Source organism: Homo sapiens, chromosome 20, assembly GCF_000001405.40.
Source record: "Homo sapiens chromosome 20, GRCh38.p14 Primary Assembly".
NCBI lineage: Eukaryota > Metazoa > Chordata > Mammalia > Primates > Hominidae > Homo > Homo sapiens.
In genome coordinates this window covers 5,875,470-5,900,701 of record NC_000020.11, presented here as the reverse complement: position 1 = coordinate 5,900,701, position 25,232 = coordinate 5,875,470, and the positions used below count along the sequence as shown (strand labels likewise).

Here is a 25,232-nt window from a genome sequence, read left to right as displayed (position 1 = left end):
TATTCCCCCTCCCTCAGCTCCTGGCAACCGCTGATGTATTTCTGTCTCTATTGATTTGCCTATTCTGGACATTTTATATAATCATATAATATGTGGCTGTTTGTGTCTGGCTTCTTTCACTTAAAATAGTATTTTCAATATTCATGCCAGTTGCAGCATGTATCAGTACTTCATTTCTTTTCATAGCTGAGTACTGTTTCATTATGTGGATATACCACATTTTGTTTACCCATTCATCTGTTGATGGACATTTGGGTTGTTTCTACTTTGGGGCTATTTTGAATGATGCTGTTATAAATGTTTGTGTACAACTTTTGGGGCAACATATGTTTTCATTTCTCTTGAGTGTATACTTGGGAGTGGAATTGCCAGGTCATATGCTAACTTGTATGTTTAACTTTTTAAGGAACTGCCAAAGTGTTTATTACAGTGGCTGCACCATTTTATAGTCCCATCAACAGCATATGAGGGGTCCAATTTCATTATATCCTCACTAATTATTCTTGTCTGTCCTTTTGATTATAGCCATTCTAATGGATATGAAATTATATCTCATGGTGATTTGTAATTCTCTAATAGCTAATAATATTTGCATCTTTTCACATGCTTATTGGCCATTAGTATATCTTCTCTGAAAAAAATATATATTCAAATCCTTTTGTCATTTTTAAATTGAGTTATTTGTCTTTTTATTGCTAAGTTGTGAATTGTTTTATATCTTTTGTATATGTCTCTAATCTGATATACGATTTGCAAATATTTTCTCCCACTTTCTGGTTGTCTTTTCAATTTTTTCATGGTGTACTTTGAAGCACAAAAGTTTTAACTTTTGATGCCACCCGATTTATCTACTTTTTCCTTGGTTGCTTTTGCTTTAGGTTTTATATCTAAGAAATCATTGCTTAGTCTAAGGCTCGAGATTTTCTCCTATGTTTTCTTCTAAGAGTTTTATACTTTGAGGTCTTATGTTTATGTCTATGATCCATTTTGAGTTCATTTTGTATGTGATGTAAGGTAGGGATACAACTTCATTCTTTTGCATATGGATATCCAGATGAGTCAGCATTATTGTTGAAAAGAATATTCTTTCCCCCTTGAATTGTCTTGTCACCCTTGTACCAATTTTACATAAATGTATGTTTTTATTTTTGTATTCCAATTCTATTCTGTTGACCTATATGTCTATTCTTATGCCAGTACCACACAATCTTATTTACAGTAGCTTTGTAGTAAGTGTGAGTCATTCAACTTTGTTCTTTTTTTTTTTTTTCCAAGACTATTTTGGCTATTCTGGACCCCTTGAATCTCCATACAAATTTTAGGATCAGTTTGCCTATTACTGAAAAAAAAAACGGGATTTTAATAGTGATTGCATTGTAACTGTAGATCAGTTTGGGGAACACTGCAATCTAAGCAATATTAAGTCATATGATCCATTAACACAGGATGCCTTTCCATTTATTCAGGTATCATCTAATTTAACAAGGTTTTGTAGTTTCCAGTGTAGAAGTCTTGCATTTCTTTTGTTAAATTTATTTTTAAGTGTTTTTTTTTTGATGTTATTGTAAATGAAGTTGTTTTCTTAATTTCCTTTCATTGCTAGTATATAGAAATGCAATTGACTTTTGTGTATTCTTCTTGTTTCTTGCAACCTTTCTGAACTAGAACTTATCAGTTCTGATAGTTGTGTGTGTGTGTGTCAGCGTGTGTGTTTGCATTTCTTAGGATTTTCTATATACAGAATTGTGTCATATGCAAATAGGTATATTTTTACTTCTTTCTTTCCAACCTGGATGCCTTTCATTTATTTTTCTGGTCTAATTAGCCTATGTAGTGCTGCCAGTAAACTGCTTAACAAAAATGGCAAGAGTGGATATTTTTGTCTTATTTTTGTTTTGTTCCTGATCTCAGGGGGAAAGCTTTCAGTATTTTACTATTAAGTATGGTGTTAGCCATGGGCTTTTTATAGTAGTCCTTTGTCAGGTCAAGAAAATTTCCTTAGATTTCTAGTTTGTTGACTTTTTTTTTTAAATCACAAAAGACTGTTAGATTTTGTCAAATGCTTTTTCAGTATCTATGAGATGACCACATGGTAGTTTTTTTCCTTTTATTCTCTTAATAAGGTATATCATGCTGGAAGATTTTTAAATAATGAATGAGCCCTGCATATGTGGGATAAATCCCACTTGTTAATGACATCTAATGCCTTTTATATATTGTTGGCTTCAGTTTGCTAGTACTTTGCTTAAGCTTTTTGCATGTGTATCATAAGGTACATTGGCATTGTCTGGTTTTGGTATTAGGTTATCACTGGCCTGACAGGGTTGGGAAGTGTTCCTCTTCTTCTTCACTGTGTTTCCTTCTTCTTTTTTTTTTTTTGAAAGAGTTTGTAAATGATTCATCTTAATTTTACTTTAAATGTTTGATAGAATTCACCCATGAAGCTATCTGAAACTAGGCTTTCCTTTGGGGAAAGTTTTAAAATTACTAATTGACTATTCTTTACTTGGTATAGATCTGTTTGGATTTTCTATTTCTTCTTCTTCCCTTTTTTTTTTTTTTTTTGTTTTGAGACAGTCTCATCCTGTCACCCAGATTGGATTACAGTGGTATGATCACTGCTTACTGCAGTCTCAACCTCCTGGCCTCAAGTGATTCTGTCACCTCAACATCCCAAGGAGCTGGGACCACAAGCATGCATCACCATGCCCAGCTAATTTTTGCTTTTTTTTTTTTTGTAGAGACAGGGTTTTGCTTCTTGTCCAGGCTGGTCTCGAACCTTTCAGCCCAAGTGATCTGCCCACCTCAGCCTCCCAAAGTACTGATATTACAGGCATGAGCCACCATATGCAGCCTAGGTTTTCTATTTCTTCTTGAGTCCAGTTAAGTAGTTTTTGTTTTTCTTTGAATTTGTCCATTTCATCTGTTTTCTTATTTGTTGGCATACATTTACTCATAATATTGCCCTGTAGTCACCTTGCCTGCCCTATCAGTAGCCTATGACACAGCTGATCATTCTCTCCACCTTGAAATCCTTTTTTTACTTAGTTCCTGAGACACTGCACTCACCTGTTTCTCTGAGCTCTTCATTTCAGGTTCTTTTGTTGTCTCCTCATTCCCCAAATCTCTAAACATCAGAGTGTCCCAAACCTCAGCACTGGACTTCTTCTCTTCTCTATCCATTCTTCCTTCTTGGTGCTCTCATCCAGACTCTTGATTTTAAGTATCATCATTAATTAGGTGACATCTTCAAGATTTATAACTCCAATTCCAATTGCTCTTCTGAATTCTGGCTCAAATATGCAATTGCCTACCTGACATCTATACTTAGATGTTGCATATCCATTTCAGACCTCACCTGTCCGACACTAAACTCTTGATATTCCCATGTGAATGTGCTGTTCCCTTAGACTTCCTCATCCCAGTAAATGGTGTCTCCATAATTTCAGGTGCTCAGCCACAAACCTTGGAGTCATTCTTAACTCCTCTGTCCTCTCATATCCAATAGCTAATCTTTTTAAGAATCCTGTGGACTCAACCTTTAAAATATATCCAGAATCTGGCCACTGATTTCCACCTCCATTGACTACCACCACTGCCACAGGTCATCATCAACCCTCACCTACACAATGAACGGCCTCCTCAGTGGTCTTCCTACTTCTGTCCTTGTCTCTTTACAATCCTTCCTCCATATAATATCTAAACAGAGTACACTAATGTCTTTAGTCAAGTCATGTCATTCCTCTTCTGAAAATGCCCTCAACAGCTCTCGTGTCATTCATGAGACAGAGTCTTTACAGTGGCTACCAGCCCTTTACAATTCAGCTCTCAGTATGTCTCTCATGTCTCCTGCTTTCCCCCTCATGTACTCTTCTCCAGGAACACTTGCCTCTGTGCTGTTCCTTAGACATGCCAAGTATTCTTCTGTCTCAGGTCCTTTGCACTCACTGTGCCCTCATCCAGGGCCAGAGATTCTCATCCTCCTTCCCTCCCTCCTTCAGGGATTTCCTTCAATGCCACCTTTCGGTGTGGCCTTCTGAGATTTTCTCCCTCTCCCTTTGCCAGCATGCTCTATCCTTTCTTCTGTTCCATTGTTCTCCTAAGCACTTACCACACCAGTAAAACACCATGTATGTTTTAATTGTTTGTTTCCTATCTCTCCCACTAGAGTCTAAGCTCCATGAGGGCAGGAGTTTTCGCCTGTTTCATTGTGTCCTCTATTCCAAGCACCTAGAACAGTACCTGGCTCATAGTGGCTGCTATGACGGTTCCCATATCTGGCTGTGCTTCGTTCATTCATTCAACAATATGCATATTGCATGTGCATGAATGAATGATGCACAACCAGGTATGGGAACCACTATTAGGGAGGGCATTCAAACAGCATGAGGGTGGGTGGTCTACTCTTGGGGCCAAAATTATGATATAGTGTGATTTGGGGAAAGGTGTACTGAGTGCCTACTATGTGCATGACACTGTGGAAGACAAAACAAGACATTGACCGGACCCTGATCCTTTCGATCAATTCAATTTGACAAGTGAGCTCCTGCAGAGAGTCTGACATTGTGCAAGTTGTTGGGATTCAGGGACAACTAGGACACACAGTAACTGCCCTCAGTGAGCCTGTCAAGAATTCAAAGAAGCAAATACATTATTATAATACAGGATTATGAGTGCTTCTTTGGAGGAAAATACAAAATACAAAATTGGGCCACTAGATATTTCAAAGGTTGGCAGAGGCCCTCAAGGCTTCCACTGGAGATGATTTTTAACTGGCTCGTAAGTAAATATATGTCAGAGAAGCTTATTATTTCATAGGATGATGAGTAACATTAAAGACAAAACAGTAGTTACAGGAAGTGTGCCACTCATCTTTGAGTTGCCTCATACTAGCTTGAGAGAGCTGATTGCTAAATTTTCAGAAACTTCAAGAGTTGATTAACATCATGTTGGTAGCTTGAACTTGGCCATGGTGGGAGAATACAGCACATAAACCAGCTGCATATATATCAGGGTTTCCCTGCCAGCACCTACTCAGTGGAGCTGTTTGCTAAACATTTACCAGTGCACCGCTGGGCATAGGACAGATGTGTTCCCATGGTTTATACCATGGGATAGTCATAGCAGCTGTCAGTTAGGGACAATACACCTAGGTGATGGAATCTGATCTGGGCCTTCCTGGTGGGCAAGACTTGAACATCCCAAAGTGAAGATACTGGGTGGAATAGAATCCCCCCAAAATTCAAGTTAATCTGGACCCTTAGAATGTGATCTTATGTTAGAAATAGAGTCCTTGCAGAGGTCACTAGTTAAGGTGAGGTTATACTGAATCAAGACCTTAAATTCAACAACTGGTGTTTTTATATGAAGAGGGAGATTTGGATACAGAGAAGCAGAGGAAACCCAGGAAAGAATGTCATGTGAAGAGGGACACATGGAGATATGTAGCAATTAGGTTGGTGCAAAACCAATTGCCATTACTTTTAATGGCAACAACCGCAATTGGTTTTGCGCCAACCTAATACAAGCCAAGGAATGCAGAAGATTGCTGTCAACCATCCGAAACTGGGAAGAAGCAAGGAAGGATGCTTCCCTGTAGGATTCAGAGAGAACACAGTCCTGGTGAAACCTCGATTCTTGATTTCAGACCTCTAGCTTCAGAACCGTGAGAGAATAAGTTTTAAGCCACCAAGTTTGTGATAGTTTGTTACTGCAGCCCAAGGAAACCGACACAGAATTGGATGAATAAGGAAAAAGAGGTGGGGATGTAGAAGGGATGGGCAATGGATGGGGAAGGATAAGAGCCGTTCCCATGTATTGAGGGCTTCTATAAGCCTCCTCCATTCCTATGATGTGCTTCCTGCATCTTAAACATCATTTCTGTGAATCCTTAAAATACTCCCATGAGGCAGAGTTCATTATGCTCGTCCTGAAGATAAAAACAGCACAGTTAAGAGACGTTAAGCAGGTTGGGCATGGTGGCTCACGCCTGTAATCCCAGCACTTTGTGAGTCGAGGCAGGTGGATAACCTGAGGTCAGGAGTTCGAGACCAGCCTGGTCAACATGGTGAAACCCTGTCTCTACTAAAAATACAAAAAAAAAAAAAAAAAATAGCTGAGTGTGGTGGCAGGCAGCTGTAATCCCAGCTACTCGGGAGGCTGAAGCAGGAGAATCACTTGAACCTGGGAGGCAGAGGTTGCAGTGAGCCGAGATTGTGCCATTGCACTTCAGTCTAGGCAACAAGAGTGAAACCCCATCTCAAAAAAAGAAAAAAAAAAGCAATTTGCTCAAGGTGACACAGCTATTTATGACAGAACTCTGATTTGAAACAGCCTTGTTGGCTTTTAATGCTCACATTCCTTCCTCTGCCTGGCTGATGTTCTGTCCCAGGTGGGCAAGAACCATCTCAACAATCTCAAGTGATGGAGATGGAAATGAGATATTAAAATCTTCAATGTCTACATCAAGGAAGAAGGACAATGAGATTTTAGGGCCCAAGTAGAGTTCAATATCTTTGGCATTGCAAAGATCACCTTAACCTGGTAGAAAGATTTGGAAGTCATTAACGAATAACACTTCAAGTAATCACAGACATGCTAAGAAAAATTCTATAGGGGAACTGAGACCCTTTGTATTGGAGGAAACCCACCATCATGTTAAGAAGAGATAGAGCAGCTGAGGTATATGTTGATTAAAATCTTTTCTCCCCCCAAATGGTGCCTTTTATGCAGCATTGCAGTCAAATGTCACAGTTAAGGGAATAAAAATCTGGTTACTAGAACAGCAGGCCACAGGGAGACAACATTGTGCACATTTGTACACATAAGACAAACTTCGACTGTGAAAATGTTTCCAACAGAGTTAAAAGGGAAGAATCACATCAAGCTACTGTGGTGAGTATTGCACTGCATTCAGGATATATTTAATGGATAAAAAGCCAGTGACTAGCCAGGCACAGTGGTGCATGCCTATGTATAGTCCCAGCTACTCGGGAGGCTGAGGCAGAATGATGGCTTAGCCCAGGAGTTCAAGGCTGTAGTGCAGTGAGCTATGCTCTCATTTTACCATTAGGATTTCATTTGAATTTGTATACGGATAAGGGTGATCAACCAATTATGTAATATAAGGGAACATTTCTAACGTATGTGCACTAGTTAAATGGGAGGAGCATGTAATTATAATTTTCTGAATTCCTCACCTTACCTTGTTTACAAATACGTAGCCTACATATGGGACATGATTTTTCTCATCTAATTACTAAATTTATTAAAAGTCTAACATTAAAAATGATGACATTTTACCTATTTGGTTTTTTTTTTTTTAATTATGGTGGTTAGAACGTTTTAATCTGTGATTCTAACTCTCTGGGATCTGAAGTTGGCTTAGCAACAAGAATTGGCTTCCATTAGGCCCATATCTCACTGGAGTATTCAACAGAGAGATAAAAAACTAGTAGCCTGAGGGCCAAGCTTGGCTGTCACTAAAGTGAGTTATGTTTGGCTCTTACTGGTTGGTTGTCTTAAACATTTGAATTCAAACGCCTTTAGTTGAAGTTTGACCACACTCTGTCTCCACCACTCTTTACGGTCTCACATCCAGCCCAGTGCCCACAGTTTATCATCTAGGTGGCCCTTGAAAACCTTTGCTTCTGCTATCGCTGAAGGGAATGCTTTGTTGGACTATTTTTCCCATACTTGCAGAAATATTTGTTATTTTGATTATGCTTCTAATTCCTACAGAAGGCATATTAGTTATTCATACTTCAGGGTGAAATAGTTCAGTTGGATTGCTGTTCTCTTCAAGTCTAAAGTCCAGCCTGGAGAATCCTGGAGTTTTTCTGGTAGGGAGTGTGTATCCTTGAAGCTTAAATGATTAAGGGAAAAGGGTAAGCCGAGACGGACCAGGTAGAAGGGAAGTTTGGGTGGTCAGAGCAACAGGCCAGGAAAGAGGGAGTCCCCACTGATGACGTGATGAGTAGTGTGGCCATGAGAAAATTCCTTCCCAGCATTTCTGGACAATTTATATACTCTTCTACATCCCAAATTCTGAGACAAATCAGTTGAGAAAATGGAAAAAATGTATTGCAATTCTGCGAGAATTAAAGCTTAACAATCAGCAGAGGCCCCAGTGGTTTGAGAGATTCATCGAGGGATCCACTGAAGGCAAGATCAACTGACATAGCAGTTGAAGGTTGAGGTCAACGTTTCTGAGAGCAAGGCAGGGAGCACATGTAGAGAAGGTGCCATGGGCTGATCAGTCTGCCTTGCTTATAACTGATACCATGTTACAAGCATGTGTTCCTGGCCCTGTCTGCTGCTAACTGGGAGGCGTTTTTGCAAATAAAATAAATATTAAGAACTTTACACTTTTTAGGTCAGGTGCAGTGGCTCACACCTGTATTCCAAGCACTTTGGGAGGCTGAGGCAGGTGGATCACCTGAGGCCAGGAGTTTGAGACCAGCCTGGCCAACATGGTGAAACGCTGTCTCTACTAAAAGTATAAAAATTAGCTGGGCATGATGGCGGGTGCCTGTAGTCCCAGCTACTCAGGAGGCTGAGGCAGGAGAATCACTTGAACACAGGAGGCAGAGGTTGCAGTGAGCCGAGATTGTGCCACTGCACTCCAGCCTGGGTGACAGAAAGAGACTCCATCTCAAAAAAACAAAGAGAAAGTTTTAAAAATAAAATTGAAAAAAGAACTTTGCACTTTTTATAGCATACTTTACACAGACCCTAAGAGTGATGTTCCAAGAAATAACAACTTTTGGAAGCAAAAAAATCTATAAATTGATGATTTTGAATTGCGATTTCTATGTAATGCTGTTAACTTTGCTGGGCTAGATTTGATTCAAAAACTACTTAGTAATGTTTGCTAGCCTTTGACAAGGTTTGGATATTTGCAATAGGTTATAGTTCTTTGTAAATACTACTAGACAGAATATTTCTTATTTATTAAAATAAGTTAAATCTAGGCAGGCACGGTGGCTCATGCCTGTAATCTCAGCACTTTGGGAGGGCGAGGCAGGTGGATCACTGGAGGCCAGGACTTTCAGACCAGACTGGTCAACATGGTGAAACCCTGTCTCTACTAAAAATACAAAAATTAGCCGAGCGTGGTAGGGGGCACCTGTAATCCTAGCTACTCGGGAGGCTGAGGCACAAGACTTGCTTGAACCCAGGAGGCGGAGGTTGCAGTGAGCCGAGATGGTGCCACCGCACTCCAGGCTGGGCTAGAGAGCCAGACTCAGTCTCAAAACAAACAAACAAACAAAAAATGTTAAATCCAGAATAATGAGTAAATAACTTCCGATTTCTCATTTCCAAGTTCTAGGTATTAGTATTAATATTTATTGAGAATTTGAAAACACTACAAAAAATGAGAATATAAAAAGGTGAGTAAGAGTCTGTTTTGAAACTTTGCCTCAGGCCAATCTTGTTCCTGGAGGAAAAATAATGGTCTCCAGGAGGCATGGGTTTCTACCAGGAAGCGAAGTTATTGAGTAAATGTCACAGGCTAAAGAAGCCACAGGGATTTGCTCTTGTTTGTCTATCTCCCGTGTTCTCAATTTCATCTAGAAACATCACTTGACTTTTATCTTGGCTGACAAATCAGCTCATGTACCTAAGGAAGCTTAACTGAACGTGGCAACCCGAGCTGCTGTTTTGGTCATGGAATCAGATGTCTTTTACTATTCTGAGGCCCAAAGAGCCCAGGGTGAAATAGCAGCATCTGCGGCTTCCCATGTGTCAACTGCGTGTTTTCCAGCCCAGACCAGTTCCGGTGGAACAAGATGTGATCAACCATATCAGGTTCTCTAAGTGCAGTGATCGCTCTTCTGAGAAGAAACTATTCTTTATCACCATTGTGATGAATTGTGACACAAGTGTCTCTGCATCTGATGCCCTCTCATCCCGGGATGCTGGCAAGCAAAGACAGAGCAGGAATGAAATTTATCAGGCACGTGTTTAACTTCTCACTTCGACCCAAATCAAAATGGAAGCCTCCTTCGTTGCTTATCAAAGCCCATAAACCAACAATATTGAGGTGTTTGCTAGCAAGGACAAAGTTGGAAAACAGCTCATGCCTCTTATACTTTAAGGAGTATAATAGACAATGATTGGCCTCTGTTCTACTCCCTTTTTTAAAAAAGTGGGAGAGCTGGGCGCGGTGGCTCATGCCTGCAATCCCAGCACTTTGGGAGGCCGAGGTGGGTGGATCACGAGGTCAGGAGATCGAGACCATCCTGGCTAACACGGTGAAACCCCTTCTCTACTAAAAAAAAAAAAAAAACAAAATAATTAGTCGGGCATGGTGGCGGCTGCCTGTAGTCTCAGCTACTCGGGAGGCTGAGGCAGGAGAATGGCGTGAACCCGGGAGGCGGAGCTTGCAGTGAGCCGAGGTTGCACCACTGAACTCCAGCCTGGGTGATAGAGTGAGACTCCGTCTCAAAAAAAACAAAAAACAAACAACAACAACAACAACAAAAACAGGGGATAGTGAGAACATAGTTCCCACTGCCACAAATTATGCAGTTGCGTTTCCCACATTTGGGGAAATCACAGGATCAGCACCTCTGGAGTGCAGTGGAACCTCACCCTGGGAAAACCACCTTCATGATCATGGTATCTCCCCTGCCAGGTAAGGATCTGTTCCACTCACGTTTTATGTGTGTGGCCAGTGGAGGGAAAAATTAAAATTAGATTTGCTTTCTAGTCTAAAAGGACCACTCATTTTGATATAACAAGCATGTGTTGATTGTTATATCATCTATATAATTAGATATAGATGTGCATGCAAAGTTTAGATCCCGTAGATGTGGATGATGTACATGGAGTGGATGACGTCGATGTAGTTGACATAGATATTGTAGATGCTGTAGAGGTAGCTGTCGACTACGTAGATGCCAATGTAGAGTAGATGGTGTAGATATATACACAGATTTAGATAGAGTAGATGCAAATATAGATGCAGATGTGCATGGCATAGCTGTAAATATGGATGCAGATGAGGTAGGTGATGTAGATTAGAGTTTCTTAACCTCAACACTATTGATATTTTAGGCCGGATATATCTTTGTTGTCAAGGACTGTCCTGTGCATTGCAGGATTTAGCAGTATCCCTGGGATTTAGCAGCATCTCTGGCCTAGATGCTGAGGGCATTTCTTCCCCCAACCCTGAGTTGTAACAATAAGAAGTCTTTCTGGAAGTTGCCAAATGTCCCTGGGCAAAGTTTCTCCAGTTGAGAACCACTGGTACAGAAGGTGTAGATAAAAATGTTGATGTAGATAATGATGTAATATAAGCATAGGTATAGGTGATGTAGATAGTAAAGATGAAAATGTAGCTGTAGATGATAAAGCTGTGAACACAGATGTAGGCAGAGTATGTGTAAATATAGAGGCAAATGATGTTATAAGATACAGCCTATAGATAAATGATATAGCTGTAAACATTGACATAGATGACATATTTGATATAAATAAGGCAGATGTTATAAACTTTATGATCTGGGCAGAAAACTATATGTGCTGATAATGCAGATGGCATTTCTTTGACCCCCTTTTGTTTTGTCTTGTTTTGTTTTGTTTTGAGATGGAGTCTCGCTCTGCTCCCAGGCTGGAGTGCAATGGCGAGATCTCGGCTCACTGCAACCTCTGCCTCCTGGGTTCAAGCGATTCTCCTGCCTCAGCCTCCCGAGTAGCCAGACCAGCCGGGCTAATTTTTGTATTTTTAGTAGAGATGGGGTTTCATCATGTTGGCCAGGCTGGTCGGTCTGGAGTGAGCCACTGCACCCAGCCTGACCCCACTTTTGGAAAAATTTCCAGACGGTGGATAAGCAGCGTCCTGTTAGGAATAGTTTAAGCACGGTATAGCCTGGAGACTGAGAGACTGCCCAGGTGACCTATTAAGGTTCTTTTTGATGTAACCACCTGATCCTGAGATATCACAATTTCTATTAAAGGCTGATACTCAGGGTGAAAAAGAAAAAAAAATGAATGATGAAAACCAGCAAGACATGAGACTCAAAGATATCCCTTCATTAATATAAGATCACATGGGAAACCTCAGATGGTCTTTCTATTCCTTCAGTAAATCTTAGTAGGATATTCGCACACCAGACAAAACTAAGCAAGTGTTTCTGCTTTCCCCACAATCCCAGCCTCTCACAGACATCCCCAAGTTGCCAACTCACAACTAGCTGACCCACAGTTTAAGCAAATTCTATCCATAGTCCCGAAGGAACCCGACCTATGTCCCAGAGAAGAGAAACATTCTATTCTCCCAAGGTCATGGTTCTCTACCAATCCCAGACTCAACACATTTAGCAAATTGTAAACCTCTCCAAATCATTTTTCAGGACCTGCTGAAAGTGCATTGGCTGTGAACTGTGGCATTTCCAAATATCCAGGACATTTGCTGAATAGAAGGAAATGAGAGTTAGTCAATTAGTCAGCATTTATTCAGTTATGCCAGGGCTGTGGTCAGGGTCTGTGGGCTGCTGATGAGTTTTCTGGCAGGGTTGAAAGAAGATTAAACCTGAGTGACTCTGCAACACGGGTAGAGAGTTATTGAGCAGTAAATAGTGAAATAAACCACCTGTACCAATTAGGAATCTGGTGGAGGATGTGCACCTCCTGATTGATTCTGGGAAGAATTTTTTTTTTTTTTTTGAGACGGAGTTTGTTGCCCAGGCTGGAGTGCGATGGTGCGATATTGGCTCACCACAACCTCTGCCTCCCGGGTTCAAGTGATTCTCCTGCCTCAGCCTCCTGAGTAGCTGGGATTACAGGCATGCACCACCAAGCCAGGCTAATTTTGTGTTTTTAGTAGAGACAGGGTTTCTCCATGTTGGTCAGGCTCGTCTTGAACTCCCGACCTCAGGTGATTCGCCTGCCTTGGCCTCCCAAAGTGCTGGGATTACAGGCGTGAGCTACCACGCCCGGATGATTCTGGGAAGATTTATGCTGGGCTTTGAATGAATGATGAACAGGAAGTTTGTCCACAAGTCTGGAGGATGAGAGTGGACACAGTACAGCAGATGTTTTGGGTGCCCTGCCCATGCCCCCTCGGGCCTTAGCATTTTGTGCCACAGCACCTGACTTTCAACTGCCAGCATCTGCCTCTTTGCCCGAGGGCTTTGTCTGGTGGCCAGAGCTTGCTTTGCCCATTCACACAGCAAGCTGGAAGCACTTGGAAATTAGTGCCCTCCCAGTTTCAGCCTTCAATCAAAGATGGATGGGGACTGGTGTTTAAATACCCTAGCTGCCTTACTCCTTTTGCAGGATAACTTTGAAGCTTACAATCTGCACTGGCTCCAGTAGGCTTAAGTTCCAGATGCCCACAGTGGTAACTTGCTTGATAATGTACCTTTTACTGCTTCTTTCCCTCTCCTGTCTCAGTTCCTTGCTTTCCCACTCAAATAAACTACTTGCACTTGAATTTGTGCCGGAGAGTCTATTTCTGGGGGGAGCCTAAGACACACAGGCCGTGAATAGATTCTCTGAAGGTCCTTCTGGCTCCTTATTTTCTATCTTGATATCCATTAAGGCAAACAGAAAGCAGAGAAGGCAGGATCTGCCAAACTTTCTTACCTCAGCCCAGAAAATTCAAGGGCATCTTTTCCTGGCAACGAAGAAACTCTGTGCCTTTGGGAGCAGCTGCCACAGCGTCAGCTCTGGCCTCATGTTACTTAACCACAGACATCAACACCTCCCCTTATGGAATTTGAGAGGCATCAGAAATACACTGAAAGAACAATGGCAGAATCCTGGCTGTCACCTCAACACATCTCTCATGTTCCAGTTCATCTCTGTCCCAGTCTGATACGTGGCAGCATGACATACTTTAAAGTGCACGTCTAATCACTAATGGAACCCTTGGAGAAGAAGTTTCCATGCTCCTGGAAGCTAACTGCACACTAAGCATCTGAGCAAAAGTCAAGTGGACACATTGATCTTTGGTTTTCCCCCAGACATTGGGCCAGAAGGAGGCAATCAGTGAACTAGCGAGACAGAAGAAGAAATTCTTTCCCCTTCAGTGAGGTTAAAGCCTTTGCAAACTCAGCACTTAGAACAGTGCTTTTTGTGGGGGGTGTAACTCATTTGAGGAGTGATAGGAAATGCCTCCATGTTTTGTAGAAATAAAGTAACTGCCAGGCACAGTGGCTCATGCCTCTAATCCTAGAATTTTGGGAGGCCAAGGTAGGAGAATTGCTTGAGCCCAGGAGTTCAAGACCAGGCTGGGCAACATTGCAAGAGCTCGTCTCTACAAGAAATTAAAAAATAAAAAACTAGCCAAGCATAATGGCTCATGCGTGCAGTCCCAGGTACTCAGGAGGCTGAGGCTAGAGGATTGCTTGTTCCCAGGAGGTCAGAGGCTGCAGTGAGACATGATAATGCCACTGCACTCCAGCCTGGGTGACAGAGTGAGACCCTGTCTCAAGAAAAGCAAAACGAAAACAAAACTGTTGGTGATGTCTATATGCTCACAGAAGTCCAAATGGGGAGGTGAAATAGTCATTTGCGGTTGTAGGGGTTACTTAGCATCCTAATGCCCTTCCCTCTGTGATGTGGTCATGAAGGCAGGCAGGATCTACTTCCCACTATAGAAAGGAGCGGAGCCAGATGCCCTTTTGCTGGTCCCTGGCCACTAGAGGACAGTCATATTATCTAGTCTCAGCAAATCAAATGCTCCCACCCAGGATGAAGGGGTGGCCTGCCCCTCCACACCTGTGGGTATATCTTGTCAAGTGGGACGAGAGACTGAGAAAAGAAATAAGACACAAAGTATAGAGAAAGAACAGTGGGCCCAGGGGACCGGCGCTCAGCATACAGAGGACCAGCACCAGCACCGGTCTCTGAGTTCCCTCAGTTTTTATTGATTACTATTTTCACTATCTCAGCAAGAGGAATGCGGTAGGAGAGCAGGGTGATAATAGTGAGAAGATCAGCAAGAAAACATGTGAGCAAAGGAATCTGTATCACAAATAAGTTCAAGTGGAGGTACTATGCCTGGATGTGCATGTAAGCCAGATTTATGCTTTTCTCCACCCAAATATCTCAGTGGAGTAAAGAATAACAGAGCAGCGTTGCTGCCAACATGTCTCGCCTCCCGCCACAGGGCGGTTTTTCTCCTATCTCAGAATAGAATAAATGTACAATCGGGTTTTATACCGAGATATTCGGTTCCCAGGGGCAGGCAGGAGACGGTGGCCTTCCTCTTTCTCAACTGCAAGAGGCTTTCCTCTTTTACTAATCCTCCTCAGCACAGACCCTTCACGGGTGTCAGGCTGGGGGACAGTCAGGTCTTTCCCATCCCACAAGGCCATATTTCAGACCATCATATGGGGAGAAACCTTGGACAATACCCGGCTTTCCAGGGCAGAGGTCCCTGCGGCTTTCCGCAGTGCATTGTGCCTCTGGCTTATCGAGACTGGAGAATGGGGATGACTTTTACCAAGCATACTGCCTGTAAACATTTTGTTAACAAGACACATCCTGTACAGCCCTAGATCCCTCAAACCTTGATTCCATATAACACATGTTTCTCTGAGCTCAAGGTTGGGGCAAAGTTACAGATTAACAGCATCTCAGGGCAAAGCAATTGTTCAGGGTACAGGTCAAAATGGAGTTTCTTATGTCTTCCCTTTCTACATAGACACAGCAGCCGTCTGATCTCTCTTTCTTTTGCCTACACCAGGACTTTTAATTTAGACTCAGGGATAGTTTAGAATTTCAAGCAGCCGCAGCATCTGGCTCCTGTGTTCAGTTGTGTTGATGTCCAGCAGCCAGAGTGGCAGCAGAGCCACAGTTAGGGACATCCTACCCAGACTGCCCCTGAAGCATGGCCTAGGCTGTGTCCTTGCTGCCTGGCCTCCCTCAGAGCCTGCCTGATTTCAAAACCTGGTTACCCATCCTGTCAATTCTATTAGCCACCTACTATCCTTCTATTAAAGTCAGCCAGAATCCTCTTCTGTTATGTGCAACTGAGAACCCTGAGTGGCATAGAAATTGATATCCCATATACACAGAGCTTCCTCTGGAGGTCAGAGACCTGGGCCCTTGTCCAGGAGGCATCTAGATAGCTGTGGGGGCTTTTGTCTCCAACCCTTCGGGGGCTTGACTGCATAGTTGCTGAGATTATTTTTCTGTTCTATGATTTTTCTATGATTCTTCCTAAAATGTTGGCCAGTGAAGACCCAAAGCTACCTGAGCTCCTGTAGCCTTAGTGGTGACGAGTATGGAAAAAGATGTCATTGTGTGACAGCCACAGATGGGTCTGGTCCAAATCAAATCACTTGAGTATCTCAAGTCATATTCAGTTCCTCACTTTCCCACTATGCCCACTATATGTCTGCATAGGTCCCCGAAGAAATGAATGTACCTGGTAAACACTGCTTTGGTACATCAAGGGCAAGAACATCCATGGTTCATTTAACAACATGCACAGATATCTGCTCAATGAATGGGCCCATTGGAGACAAAGAGAACCAGAGGTGATAAGACAGTGAGAGTGACTGGCACTTTTTTAATACATGGTAATCTAAATAGTTCTGGTGCCCTGGCAAAAAGTCTGGGGAATGTAAATGTGCCTCTAATAGGCACAGATAATGGGCATTTTTAGGGGGAAGAAGTAATTGGTTTTTAAGCCACAGTCACACTGTGGCACAAAGCAAATGCATGGAAAAACTGCTTGAAGCAATATGGGTCAGGAAACCTTTTATAGTTAATGGTAAACCAATCTATTTGGAGAGTGGCTTAAAAGCAGCTTTTAAAGGAGAGAGAGACTACTATAGTTTGGCTTAAAAGGTATGTCAACCAAATGCAAAATCCTTGTTTGAATCCTGATTCAAACAAACCAACTGTAAGAAGGCATTTTTGAGACAACTGGGGAAAATTGAATATGGACTAAATAGTAGATGATGTTCAGGAATTATTGATTATTTTCTTGGGAGTATTATATTCTGGTTGTTTTTAAAAAGTACAAGGCTGGGCACCATGGCTGATGCCTATAATCCCAGCACTTTGGGAGGCCGAGGCGGGCAGATTGCTTGAGCTCATGGGTTCCAGACCAGCCTGGGCAACATGGTGAAATGCTTTCTCCACCAAAAATACAAAAAAATTAGCCGGGTGTGGTGGTGCATACCTATAGTCTCAGCTACTCGGGAGGCTGAGGTGGGAGGATCACTTGAGCCTGGGAGGCAGAGGCTACAGTGAGCCAAGATCACACCACTGCACTCCGGCCTGGGTGACAGAGCAACAACAACAAAAACATACTTATCCATTGGAGATACATGCTGAATTTGCAGCTGCAATAAAATAATGCCGTAGATTTTATTTTAAAATACTCTAGCGCATGCAGTACTACTCAAAGTCTGAGGATTGGGGCCAGTTTGCAAATTGTGTGCTCTTGGTCTGTAATAAGTGCAGAAATTGACAACAAATATTTAGAAATGGCTATAGTACTTTGACATTGCCATGGCATCCAAGTAGTGAGTGGTGGACTCTAATGAGAATAGAACTTAGTTTGGGTGTTGTCAAACCTGCATAGTGTGTTATGTGTGGCTTGGGTGTGAGCTGTGTGCTGGTATTGGTCCATGGCAGATCGGAAATTGAACAAAAGAGTCCTTAGCTTGAGGAGCAGTGTCTTGGCGCACACACACACACACACACACACACACACACACACACAGAGGGAGGTGGTGGTGGGATCTGCTGAAAAAGAATGGCAGAAAGCTGATGGCTGTTGAAGGTAGGTGATCAGTACATGGAGTTCATAATACAATTCTCTCTATTTTTGTGTATATTTGAAAATCTACATTATTTGGTATATTGAAAAGTTTTAAAAATCAGCCTGTTGATGGAGATATTTAAAAATATACATTTTAAATGCATATGTTTACATTGAAACATACTGTGTGTGTGTGTATTTCAAATAAAATAACATAGAAATGACACATAGAACACACAGCTCCCAGGGGTATTATACATAATGATTCAAGTAAAACTTTCTTATTTTACAAAAGAAGGCTTAGGTAAACAAACAATGCCATTTGCCAGATCATGAGCTTGGTGAGCTTTTATTATATAATAAACTCTAATTACATAATAAACTTTTTGAAGCTATGGATCTGGTGAGATACAACTTCTGTGTCTCCATAGCACTCCACCCATGATACTGCAGAATAAATAGTGCCTATTAAACAGTGGTTGATAAACAAACTCAGGAAATGAACTGTTATGGACAGCAGTTTAATTCTCCGTGCAATAACTCCACACTGCTCAATTAATTTGAAAATTAGTTTCCCGAATCCACCCTCTTAGAGATTTGTCACAGAACGTTTAAGCCTGAGGGGGACCGGGAGCTTTGTTAATGTCCTCATTTGCAGACACGGAAATGAAGTTCAGAGGAGGTAGATGAGCCTCACTGGACACCCTGCTCGTTAATGGAAGTGCTTTAGCCTCTCACGCCTGCAACTGGACTCTTCCTTCCACCATGATGTCTTTCAGAAGGTACGAACCCATCTCCGACACTGGCCCCTTGCTCTTGGTTTTAAAATTATAGTTTCAGTTGTAGGAAAGAGAAAGATGTTGTCAAGCTGACTCCACCAGGAAGCTGAAAAGGAAGTGTGAATACAGAAAAAAATTACGTCTTGGTTGCTATTTACCCAGCACTACTCTGTGCCTGGTATGGGTGGTATAAGCTCTCCAGCCTTCAAGAACTTTCTGCCTGTTCAAGGAAGGCAGATGTACACATGTTAACAGTTAAAGGACAGTCCTGCTGTGTAGCAGTTAAAGTGCAAATGAGTAGCTGGGTAGAGCCGTGGGAGCTAGAGAAGGAAAGGAATGTTTTGGCGGGTCCAGTCTCAGAAATGTGGAGAGGGCAGGACATCTGGGTTCGATCAGTGTGGACCTGTGGTGGGGCTTCCTTTTGTTGGCATTAAGGAGCTTTCTGTGGGGGATGAGATAGGATACCCTCGGTGATTTGGGAAAATCAACGTGGTAGCAACAGTGAATGGAAGAGGCTGAAAAGGGGAGAACTGGCAGCAGGGAAAACCTTCAGGAGGTCCTTAAGGAGATGAAAATGATGCAGGTGATGGTGTTGGGAAGAAAAAGACAAGGCAGGTGTAAGAGGTTGTGTGTGTGTGTGTGTGTGTGTGTGTGTGTGTGTGTGTGTTTGAGACAGGGTCTCACTCTGCCCCCCAGGCTGGAGTGCAATGGCACAATCATGGCTCACAGCAGCCTCTATCTCCCAGGTTCAGGTGATTCTCGTACCTCAGCCTCCCAAGTAGCTTGGACTACAGGCACACGCCTCTCAGCCCAGCTAATTTTTTGTATTTTTTTGTAGAGTCAGGGTTTTGCCATGTTGCCCAGGCTGGTCTCAAGATCCTGGGCTCAAGCGATCTGTGCACCTTGGCCTCCCAAAGTGCTTTCTGGCTGGGTGCGGTGGCTCACACCTATAATCCCAGCACTTTGGGAGGCTGAGGCGGGCAGATCATCTGAGGTCAGGAGTTCGAAACTAGCCTGATCAACATGGAGAAACCCCGTTACTACTTAAAATACAAAATTAGCCGGGCGTGGTGGCACATGCCTGTAATCCCAGCTACTTGGGAGGCTGAGGCAGGAGAATCGCTTGAACCTGGGAGGCGGAGGTTGCGGTGAGCTGAGATCAAGCCATTGCACTCCAGCCTGGGCAATAAGAGCAAAACTTCATCACAAACAAACAAATTTAAAAAAACCACTATATACTAGGTGCTGTTCTGAATACTATATAGATGTTCCTTGATTTAAGATGAGGTTATATCCCGATAAATCCATCATAAATTGAAAATATCTTAAGTTGCTTGATTTAGAATATTTTCAATTTATGATAGGTTTATGAAATTGTAATCCCATCAAAAGTTGAGGAGTGTACTGAATGATTTCATGCCATTGTAAAGATAAAAAACCTTAAGTTGAGCTATAAGTCAGGAACTGTCTGTAAAAATCTGAACTCATTTGTGCCTCCTGAACTAAGCACTATTGTTATTCCTGTTTTACAGTTGAGGAAGCTGAGGCACAGTCAGGTTAAATAACATGCCCAAGGACATACACTAATAAATGGCCAAGTCAAAATTCACACCCAGGCAGGCCGCCTCCTGTGTCTCAGCTCTTAACCACCACTTCTTGCTGTATACAGTGAGACATTTAGAAGTAAAAGTCATAATGAATCCACACTTCGTCAAGCCTGAGTGACAGCAAATGTTAGTGCCATGGATAGATTAGAGGCATCAAATGAGAATATTAACTTGTGGGAAAGAGGATACATTTGATTTTCTATACATTTTCTTTAAAGCGACAAGGACACATATGAGTAGAATGTTCCATGGGAAATTAGAGTTATATAGGATAGAAACTTGGTAAAGACTTGAAAATTGGCAGATGAATAATAGCTGGAGTTTTGAGGGAAGATAAATTCCAAAGAATGATGATATGGTTTGGCTGTGTCCCCACCCAAATCTCGTCTTGAATTGTAGCTCCCATAATTCCCACGTGCAGTGAGAGGGACCAGGTAGAGATAATTGAATCATGGGGTCAGTTTCCTCCTTACTGTTCTCACGGTAGTGAATAAGTCTCATGAGAGCTGATGGTTTTATAAATGGGAGTTCCCCTGCACAAGCTCTCTTACCTGTCACCACGTAAGATGTGACTTCGCTCCTCATTTTCTTTCTGCCATGAGTGTGAGGCCTCATCAGCCATGTGGAACTGTGAGTCAATTAAACCTCTTTTCTTTATAAATTACCCAGTCTCAAGTATGTCTTTATTAGCAGCTTGAGAACAGACTAATACAAATGGCAAGTGTGAAGTTGAAGACTATGGAATTGCTAGTTCTTGGCTATTTTGACCAACAAAAATAGCGGTTTCATACGGATCAAGCAGGGCTCAAGATTGTGCTTCAGGGAAAAATGAGAGGTCAAGGTCAGGAGGGAGAGGGACTGCTTGGGAGACAGACATTAAACAGGGATTGGGGAAGATTTAGATCACACCCTTTTACATTATTCATTTTTAAATTACATTTTTGTTTATTTTTGAATAGGCAAGACCGACATATAGCTGATAATTCAAAAAGAGATTTTTATCCACCAGCGTTACCACCTGCAGACAACAGAATCCACTGTAGGGGTGAAGGGAATTTTTCTTCCCCCTGCTTCTGAAGGTTCAATAATTTGGGTCTGTAAAACAAATGGACAATAGACAGATTAATAGGAGAAAAGGCATATAAATTTATTTACATGCAAATGCACAGAAGCCATACAAAATATGAGACTCAAAGAAGAGCCAGATGACTGAAGTTCTTATACCATATGGAAAGAAATAGGAGCTTGGGGCTCCTGGGGATAGGTGGTAACAGGTTATGGGAGGGTGAAGGGAAGAAAGGCAAGTCAAGCAAAGCCTGTCTTACTATGCAGATGAAATCTCTCAGACAGTAGTCCTGAGAACAAAATAGATGGCAGCCTGTGGTAAAGGTTTCTCTGTCAGACCTTTAAAAGTATCAGGCTGGGCATGGTGGCTCACACCTGTAATCCCACTGCTTTGGGAGGCTGAGGTGGGAGGATTGCTTGAGGCCAGAGGTTCAAGACTAGCCTGGGCAACATAGCAAGACTCCATCTCTAAAACAATTAAAAGAAAATTAGCTGGGTTTGGTGCCATGTGCCTATAATCCAAGCTACTCAGGAGGCTGAGTTGGAAGGATGGCTTGAGCCTAGGAGTTCAAGGTTGCAGGGAGCCATGGTCATGCCCCTGCACTCTAGCCTGGGTGAGAAAGTGAGACCCTAACTAACATAAATAAATAAACAAAGATAAAAGTGTCAGACCACCAGTCTCATTTTCCTGTGAGTTACTCTTTCCTAGATATGGATAAGAGAACCTCAGAGAAAGCCTGTGCCTGCATCTCCTGTTTGCTTTACTAATGTAGATAGATGTAAATTTCTTTTACAGGAGGGTAGCTTTTTCAGAGCTATTCCCATCTGCAGCTTTTCCAAATAACCAACTTGAAATATGCCAAAGAAGTATATTTTGGGGTGGCATATTTTGGTTTCCCACACCACTCTAGCTAATTTAAGGAACTGGGATTTGCTAGAAATGCATCAAAATGTTGAAAGGGCTACAGGAATAAGCTATAGGCTGGGATTATAGCAACAACTTTCCAGCTCACACCACAGAACTAGAATGGCAAGGGAAATGTGGCTGCCTCTGACTTCTGTACGAGGCTTCCTTCATCCTGGTCAGGAAACCACCCTCACCCTCACCAAGCCCTGAATCACACCACCTCTGCCACAGTCGAGAAGCTGTTGTTGCCACCCCTCCAGAAATATGCTATTTCCAATTGCCTCAGCTTCAACACAATGGATGCCCAAATGCCCTGCCTGTTTCTTCACAGGTCATCTCTCAGCCTCACACTTGTGTCTGGTTGGCAGAGCCAAGTCCTGTGTGTGTAGCACATTGACAGGGGAAGCTGGGAAAGGTGTTTCCCAAGGCTGGGAAATATCTAAATGTGGAAAGGTGTTCAAAAATATGTGAGCAGGCCGGGCATGGTGGCTCATGCCTGTAATCCCAGCACTTTGGGAGGCCAAGGCGGGCAGATCACCTGAGGTTGGGAGTTCAAGACCAGCCTGGCCAACATGGAGAAACCCCATCTCTACTAAAAAATACAAAAATTAGCTGGGTGTGATGGCGGGCACCTGTAATCCCAGCTACTCAGGAGGCTAAGGTAGGGAGAATTGCTTGAACCTGGGAGGTGGAGATTGCAGTGAGCTGAGATTGTGCCACTGCACTCCAGCCTGGGTGACAGAGCAAGACTTGGTCTCAAAAAAAAAAAAAAAAAAAGAAAGAAAGAAAAAGAAAAATATGTAGCAGATCCAAGTGATAGATGTTCATAAAGAAATATTATTGAAAAATATTCTCAGCAAGGCACAGTGGCTCACACCTGTAATCCCAGCACTTTGGGAGGCCGAGGTGGGCAAATTACCTGAGGTCAGAAGTTCGAGACCAGCCTGATCAACATGGAGAAAACCCATCTCTACTAAAAATACAAAATTAGCTGGGAGTGGCAGTGCAAGGCTGTAATCCCAGCTACTCGGGGGGGCTTAGGTAGGAGAATCGCTTGAACCTGGGAGGCAGAGGTTGTGGTGAGCCGAGATCACGCCATTGCACTCCAGCCCGGGCAACAAGACCAAAACTCTGCCTCAAAAAAAAAAAAAAAAAAGAAAAAGAAAGAAAAATATTCTCACCCTTTGTGGGAGATCATTTTAGAAATGGCTGCCAATGAATCATGCCTCCTTGTGTTACATGCCCGTGTGTAGTGCTTTCCCATAATGACTCTGAGTATGGCCATGTGACTTGCTTTGGCCAATGGGGCATGTGATGTAAGCAGAGGCTTGAAAAGTGCTTGTGTGGTGGGATATGCCCTCTAGGAACTCTACCTCCATGTAATGCCCCAGTCAACACCAGCCCTAACTACCAGAAATGCAAACAAGGCCATCTTGGAGCATTCAACACCAGGTGATATAGCAGATGACTGAAACTGCATGAGTGACCCCAACTGCTCAGATGAAACTGGCCCAACTTGTTGACCCTCAACATTTTAAAATTAACCTTTTTATTTTGAGATAAATGTAGACAAATGTGCAGTTGTAAAAACTGACAGAGATCTTGTTTATCCTTTACCCAGTTTCCTTCAATGATATCATTATGCAAAACTGTAGTATAATATCTACAACAAGGATATTGCCATTGATACTGATAGCTCTTATGCCAATTTCTCCATTTTGACTTGTACTCACTTGTGCATATTTAGTTCTATGCAATTTTGTCACACATGTGTAAGTTTATGTATCCACTATCATACAGAATAGTGATATCGGTGATTTTTACAGTTTCTCTATTTTTGAAGAACTAGCTTTTGGTTTCACTGATTTTCTTTTATTTTCTTTTTTATTCTTCTTCTTATTTTTTTTTGAGACAGAGTCTCACACTGTCACCCAGGCTGGAGTATAGTAGTGCACATGTGGCTCACTGTAGCCTTGACCTCCTGAGGTCAAGTAATTCTCCCTCCTCCGCCTCTTAAAGTGCTGAGATTACAGGTGTGAGCCACTTTGCCCTGTCTGATTTCCTGTATTGTTTTCTTTTTCTCACATTTGTTGATTTCTGCTCTTATTTTTATTATTTCCTACTTTCTGCTTACTTTGGATCTATTTTGTTCTTCTTTTTCTAATTTCTTGAACTAAGAACTTAAATTTGAATTTGCTTTCCTAATTTCTAACGCAAGCATTTAGTGTTATAAATTTCCCACTCAGCACTACTTAAGCTACACCCTTCTTTAAAATGATGTATTTTTTCATTTTAATTCATTTCTGTGTGTCTCCCCTGCAACACTTTTAGACTTCACCTTTGACTCATGGGTTTAGAAGTTTGTTCATTTATTTAGAAGTGTGTTACTTAATTTCCAAGTGTTTGAAGACATTCCTGTTATATTCTGTTATTGATTTCTATTTTGATTCCATTATGATTGAAGAAAATCTCTGTATGATTTCAATTATTTTAAATTTATTGAGGTTTGTTTTATCATTCAGGTTATTGTCTATCTTGCCGAATGCTTTTTGGAGGCTTGTACAGAATGTATGTTCTACTATTGCTGGATAGAATATTCTATAAATATCAGTTAAATCTTGTTGATTGATGGTGTTGTTCATTTCTTCTATATATTTGCTAATTTTATGTCAAGTAGTTATATTAATTGCTGAGAGCAGGGTGCTGAATTTCCCAAACTATAATTGTGGAGTTCTGTTGTTTGGTGCATATACATTTAAGATTGCTTTGTCAGATTGATTGTTTCATAATTGTGTAATATGTTTTCTTTGCTTTGAAGTTCATTTTATATGATATCAATATAGTCACCCCTGTTTTTTGTTTATTTATTTATTTATTTATTTATTTATTTATTTATTTATTTAGAAATAGGGTCTCACTGTCACCCAGGCTGGATTGCGGTGGTGCAATTATAGCTCACTGTAGCCTTGAACTCCTGGGCCCAAACAACCTTCCACCTCAGCCTCCCTAGTAGCTAGGACTAACAGGCTTGTGCCACTATGCCCGGCTAATTGAAAAAATATATTTTTTAAGAGATGGGGTCTGGCTATATTGCCCAGGCTAGTCTCAAACTCCTGACCTCAAGTGATTCTCTCATCTTGGCC

The 25,232-nt window shown here is 42.0% G+C and overlaps 1 pseudogene, besides 2 other annotated features; it reads right to left on the bottom strand.

Annotated features, from left to right (window-relative positions):
• Nucleotides 8,191-8,401: a silencer, noted in NCBI's record as "fragment chr20:5872947-5873157 (GRCh37/hg19 assembly coordinates)". NCBI's record gives its function as "represses an EF-1alpha promoter that drives an FKBP-Casp9 reporter gene in an ReSE screen in HepG2 liver carcinoma cells {active_cell/tissue: HepG2}" and the evidence as "EXISTENCE:reporter gene assay evidence [ECO:0000049][PMID:32094911]".
• Nucleotides 10,489-10,647, bottom strand: RNU1-55P (RNA, U1 small nuclear 55, pseudogene; annotated as a pseudogene).
• Nucleotides 23,353-23,553: a silencer, noted in NCBI's record as "peak4135 fragment used in MPRA reporter construct". NCBI's record gives its function as "represses an SCP1 promoter by STARR-seq MPRAs in K562 erythroleukemia cells {active_cell/tissue: K562}" and the evidence as "EXISTENCE:reporter gene assay evidence [ECO:0000049][PMID:32103011]".